The 6,000-nt window shown below is 38.5% G+C and overlaps 1 pseudogene; it reads left to right on the forward strand.

Moving 5' to 3' along the window:
* RPL23AP4 (ribosomal protein L23a pseudogene 4) lies at window positions 4,352-4,877 on the forward strand (annotated as a pseudogene).

Genomic DNA, 6,000 nt, shown 5'->3' on the forward strand with positions numbered 1-6,000 from the left:
CGCCTTGCTAATTTGTAACCTCCCACTTCAACAGTAAGAAACCTGGTTCCCACCATCTGTGACTTATGTAAGTCATTGTTTTATTCCAGATACAGACACTGTGGTTTTACAATTGTTCACAATTGCTTCTGTTGGAAAGAACTTTATAAAATGGAATCCAATAATGAAGTATAGTTCATGTGCCTTCAGCCTACAGATTCTATTCATTTTCAAAGTTTTTACCTAGATTTGTGTCTTAGTCCATTTTGTGCTTCTGTAACAGAATACCTGAGGCTGCGTAATTTATAAGTAAAAAAGTTTCATTTGGTTCACAATACTGGTGGCTGGAATGTCTCAGATTGGGCGGTTGCATCTGGCGGGGCCTCAGTCTTTTTCACCTCATGGTGGAAAGTGGAAGGGGAGCAAGGGGTGCACCAGCGATCACACAGCAGAAGTGAAAGCAAGAGGGAAGCCAAGGAAGCCAGGCTCTTTTTAATTACCTGCTCCTGCAGGAATTATCTATTCCTGTGAGAACAGAACTCACTCACCCCCATGGAGGACATTAATCTATTCATGAGGGATCCGTCCCCACGACCCAAACACCGTCCACTAGGCCCCACCGCCCCACACTGACACAGTGGGAGTCAAATTTCAACATGAGTTTTTGTGGGGACAAACCACATCCAAACCATAGTAATTTGTAGCATAAATTCTTTTTCACATGATGTATTCTGTCATGGGATACTCCACATCCTGAGTAATTTGATTTAATTTGAATAGAGTTTGCTTTAACCATTTGGCTGTAAAATTCTGCATATTTCGACAAATGCATTGTGGCAGATATCCCGCTATTAAAGTATCATATGGAATGCCTCAAACCCCCACCCCATGGAGCCAATGGCTTCCCATCTGTGTAGTTTGCCTTCTCCAGTGTCTCATTAAATGAGGTCACACTGTGTGTATCCTCCTCAGACTGTCTTCTTCCACTTAGCAATGTGCATGCAAGATTCACTCATGTCTTTGTGTGTGTTGATATCTTGTTCCTTTCTATGGCTAAATAGTATTCCATTACATGAATGTAGCAGAATTTGGTTATGCATTTTGGGGAGCAGAACCTTCCTCTTCTAACTTTGTTCCAGGGTTGGAGACCTTCAAGTTAACTGACAATAGATACATTAGTAGGAGAGACAATACTTGGCTTCTTGTTCCCCAAGTATCATTGTGGGACAAAATTCATCAGATGGCAGGATCCAGTTTACAAAGAGGTAAAAATAGCCCAGAAACAAGAAACAAGACTAGAATCTGATAACTCACAATGGCTATAGTTTTCCTTTAAAAAAATTTTTTTTGAGACAGGGTCTGGCTCTGCCGCCCAGGCTGGAGTGCAAAGGTGCAATCTCAGCTCACTGCAACCTCTACCTCCTGGGTGCAAACGATCCTCCCTCCTCAGCCTCCTGATTACCTGGGACTACAGGCACATGCCGTCATGCCCATCTAATTTTTGTATTTTTGGTAGAGACGGGGTTTCACCATGTTGCCCAGGCTGATGTTGAACTCCTGGCCTTCCAAAGGGCTGTAATTATAGGCATATGCCACCATGCCCGGCTGTGTTATACTTTTCCTTTGAAAGATAAAATTTCTCTCTGTAGTAACCATCATTTTTGATCATAATCAAAGTAAGACTATTCTTGTTTTAAAAATAAGTCTAGTTTTGTTAGATTTTGCTTGATTATTTACGTAAGTGCAGCAAGAACAGGAGATGACCACGTAGGTGCTTTCAGGTTTCTTTGCTGGAAGTTTTCATACAGAATCTCAGATTTGACTTTTAAAGGCCTTATTCAGGCTAAAAGCCAAGCCAAGAACATACTATCAAATTTCAGCTGCAGTCCTTATAGCTTTTTGTGAATTCCTCTCTTCTTGAGGCCCCAAAATATCCCTAAATTCCTGGGCCTACCAGGAAATGACCTTCCTTACTAACCTATAAGGCTGTGAACCCTGTAATCTAGGTATCAGGCTGGGTTTTCTCAGAGTGCTGTTGGGAATGAAGTTTTTTATGTTCCCCCCCCAAAAAAAAAGAACTAACATGGGAACAAATGATCTCTTAGCAAGGCGAGCTTTATTTTTCTGCACAAAGGGTGCTACTCAATAGCTGTCCAGCTACAAGAGCACACCAAACAAAGGAGACAGAGTTACTTATAACCTGACGTGTCTACCCTACTGCTGTGTCCAGTTTCCATTGGCTGGAATAGGACCTCCCATTTTACACTTTACCCGATTGGCTGTTAGTTTAAAACTTTCTTAATTAGGTAAGGGGAATAGAAGAAAGAAAGAAAAGGAAGTTGCCCAGGGGTAGTTAAGGAAGCATCTCCAAATAAGGAATGGCATGCACTATGGGCTGGGGCTTGTCTAGTTCTGTCCAGGCATGCTGGAGCAAGCTAGGACAAGTGATTTGGAACACACACACACACACACACACACACACACACATAAAAATAGTGGGTAGTTGTGACTTTATAATCTTTGAGGAAGAACTTTCCTCAAAGTTTTCCACAGTGCTTTGTAAGCATTGTCTCCATAAAAGTCAACCTTACTTCCTTAAAATTGCTGGTCATAACTGATCTTAGGTACACTTCCTAAATATGATATTCCAGTAAAAACCTTGATAATATAACCAAAATTTCCAATTATGTCCTGTTATAAGGTGAATAGATTCTTATTGGACTTTTGCTAACAACAATATCATCGTGGAAATAAGAGTATTCAGTAAGGATTTCAAAATTCTGGAAAAATCAGGCAAGAAAAAAAGATAAACGCTTCATTTCTGTTTACAAAAGTATAATCTACTAAATTGTTGTAAGTTACAGTTAGAGTAAGAGAAAGAGATTTCTTAAATCCAGAAACTATAATATTAACCAGCAATGCTCCAAAAAGCTATACAATTATAATCAATTTTCATCAGTTCATTCAGTGCCATGTAATCAATTCCAGTCTTGTGGATCTTGAGTTAGCAGTGTCATGAACCCATCAGTTTCCCAACTGGACTTCTGGAGACCTTAACTGAGTCAAGTGTATGGTCTTAAAGTTATTTAAGCAATATCATCAGAAGCCTATAACCAGAGTACCTGTCATAGTCTTTTCTGTGAGTCTCAGAGGGAGTCCTGTCTTGGAGACGAACATTCTGACCTGTAGTTGATTGCAGGAGCTTTCAGGAAAGCATCAGGGGGAAATAATATCTAAATGACGAAAAGTATGAAATGGCTGTGATGAAAGATCTGATGAGAGTTCATTATACCACAACTGACAAGGATATTCGATTTTTTCTGTGGCAGACAACATTTATTTATTTCTTTATTTAGAGACAGAGTCTTGCTCTGTCGCCCAGGCTGGAGTGCAGCGGTGCGATCTCGGCTCACTGCAAGCTCTGTCTCCTGGGTTCACGCCATTCTCCTGCCTCAGCCTCCCGAGTAGCTGGGACTACAGGTGCCTGCCATCACGCCCGGCTAATTTTTTATATTTTTAATAGAGATGGAGATTCACCGGGTTAGCCAGGATGGTCTGGATCTCCTGACCTTGTGATCCACCCGCCTCAGCCTCCTAAAGTGCTGGGATTATAGGCATGAGCCACTGTGCCTGGCACAACATTTAAAGTAATAATTGGAATTATGACTCATTACTCTATAGTGGCACATAGCATGGATAAGGAGGACATTGACAAACTTCCAGGAATTTTATATAATTTCTGAAAACATAACATTTTACCCATACAAATATAACACAGGGAAGGTTAGGTATCTCTTTTTATTTGTATCTTCTGTATGGTTTTCCTTATAAAAAATGCAACCTACTTTACTTGCGAAACATGCCCTACTTTTCTTGCATGCTTTGCATAGAGTTGTTTCTAGTTATTCTATTATTTCTAGTAGTTTTATTTACATATATTGATTATAATTTTAATACTTAGTAATCTTTTATTTTCCAGAGAAAACTAGGAAGTAGACAGTTATAAACTGTCATATATTAGCATTCTATAGTAGGTTAGAAAATGTATGAATATACCATCTCCCAACATCTAGAGGGATGTGTTTTCTCATAATACAATTCCTCAGTGTGGCAGAAAAAAACATGTTTATTAACGGGCCAAAATATCTTTAGTCTCTCTGTAAAAACAGGAAGCCAAAAGTATATAAACTTGAATTATTTATGTTCAGTAATTAATGTTTTAGTATTGTATCTTATTTATAAATGGTCTAGATATTTAATGCAAATCTTTTACTTAGCTTAACTTTAAGGTTAAAAATTACCAAAAGTACTTTGGAAACTATTCTTAGGCAGATTTACTGTAAACAAATTATTTTTGAAATAATGTTTTTCGCTTTTCACAAGACGGCACCGAAAGCGAAGGAAGCTCCTGCTCCTCCTAAAGCCGAAGCCAAAGCGAAGGCCTTAAAGGCCAAGAAGGCAGTGTTGAAAGGTGTCCGCAGCCACACGCAAAAAAGAAGATCCGCATGTCACTCACCTTCAGGCGGCCCAAGACACTGCGACTCCGGAGGCAGCCCAGATATCCTCGGAAGAGCACCCCCAGGAGAAACAAGCTTGGCCACTATGCTATCATCAAGTTTCCGCTGACCACTGAGTCGGCCGTGAAGAAGATAGAAGAAAACAACACGCTTGTGTTCACTGTGGATGTTAAAGCCAACAAGCACCAGATCAGACAGGCTGTGAAGAAGCTCTATGACAGTGATGTGGCCAAGGTCACCACCCTGATTTGTCCTGATAAAGAGAAGGCATATGTTCGACTTGCTCCTGATTATGATGCTTTCGATGTTGTAACAAAATTGGGATCACCTAAACTGAGTCCAGCTGGCTAACTCTAAATATATGTGTATCTTTTCAGCATAAAAAAAATAATGTTTTTCATAAGAATGACAACTTAATTAGAATCAAATCTATAAGCTTTAAGATTTTACGTTTCTAGTAAGTATAATATTAGCTTATTTGACTAGAACTCAAGCAGAATAGGAATTTATGCTTGTTTTATATTCAATAATGATAATTTTGAAGATATAGTTGTTTTATTACACCAAAAATCCTATATTAATCTTATTTAACTAAGTTTTATCCAAATCATGTTAACTTAAGAAACATTTGATCAGTTCCTATATTTCTAGGAGTTTGGTGAATATTTATTTATAAATGCTTATTTTTTTCCAAGCCAAGTTAGAATAGAGCACTTTTAGAGGATTTCATAAATGAATTTTGCAATGCTCTCTGGAGTTAAGAAAATATCACATATACATAACATACATTAATAGATACACAAACACAAATAGAGATTTCATAGCTTTCATCCTGAAATTTCAGCCATGAATCAGGCATAAATATTCTGATGGTTAATTTCAGACATCTACTTGATCGGATTGAGAGACACACATAGCTGGTCAAACACGATTTCAGCCATGAATCAGGCATAAATATTCTGATGGTTAATTTTAGACATCTACTTGACTGGATTAAGAGACACACATAGCTGGTCAAACATGATTTCAGCCATGAATCAGGCATAAATATTCTGATGGTTAATTTTAGATATCTACTTGAGTGGATTAAGAGACACACATAGCTGGTCAAACACAATTTCAGCCATGAATCAGGCATAAATATTCTGACGGTTAATTTTAGACATCTACTTGATCGGATTGAGAGACACACATAGCTGGTCAAACACGATTTCAGCCATGAATCAGGCATAAATATTCTGATGGTTAATTTTAGACATCTACTTGAGTGGATTGAGAGACACACATAGCTGGTCAAACACAATTTCAGCCATGAATCAGGCATAAATATTCTGATGGTTAATTTTAGACATCTACTTGAGTGGATTGAGAGACACACATAGCTGGTCAAACAATTTCAGCCATGAATCAGGCATAAATATTCTGACGGTTAATTTTAGACATCAACTTGACTGGATTAAGGGACACACATAGCTGGTCAAACACGATTTCAGCCATGAATCAG

The sequence above is a fragment of the Homo sapiens genome, chromosome 21 (genome assembly GCF_000001405.40).
Source record: "Homo sapiens chromosome 21, GRCh38.p14 Primary Assembly".
Lineage (NCBI taxonomy): Eukaryota > Metazoa > Chordata > Mammalia > Primates > Hominidae > Homo > Homo sapiens.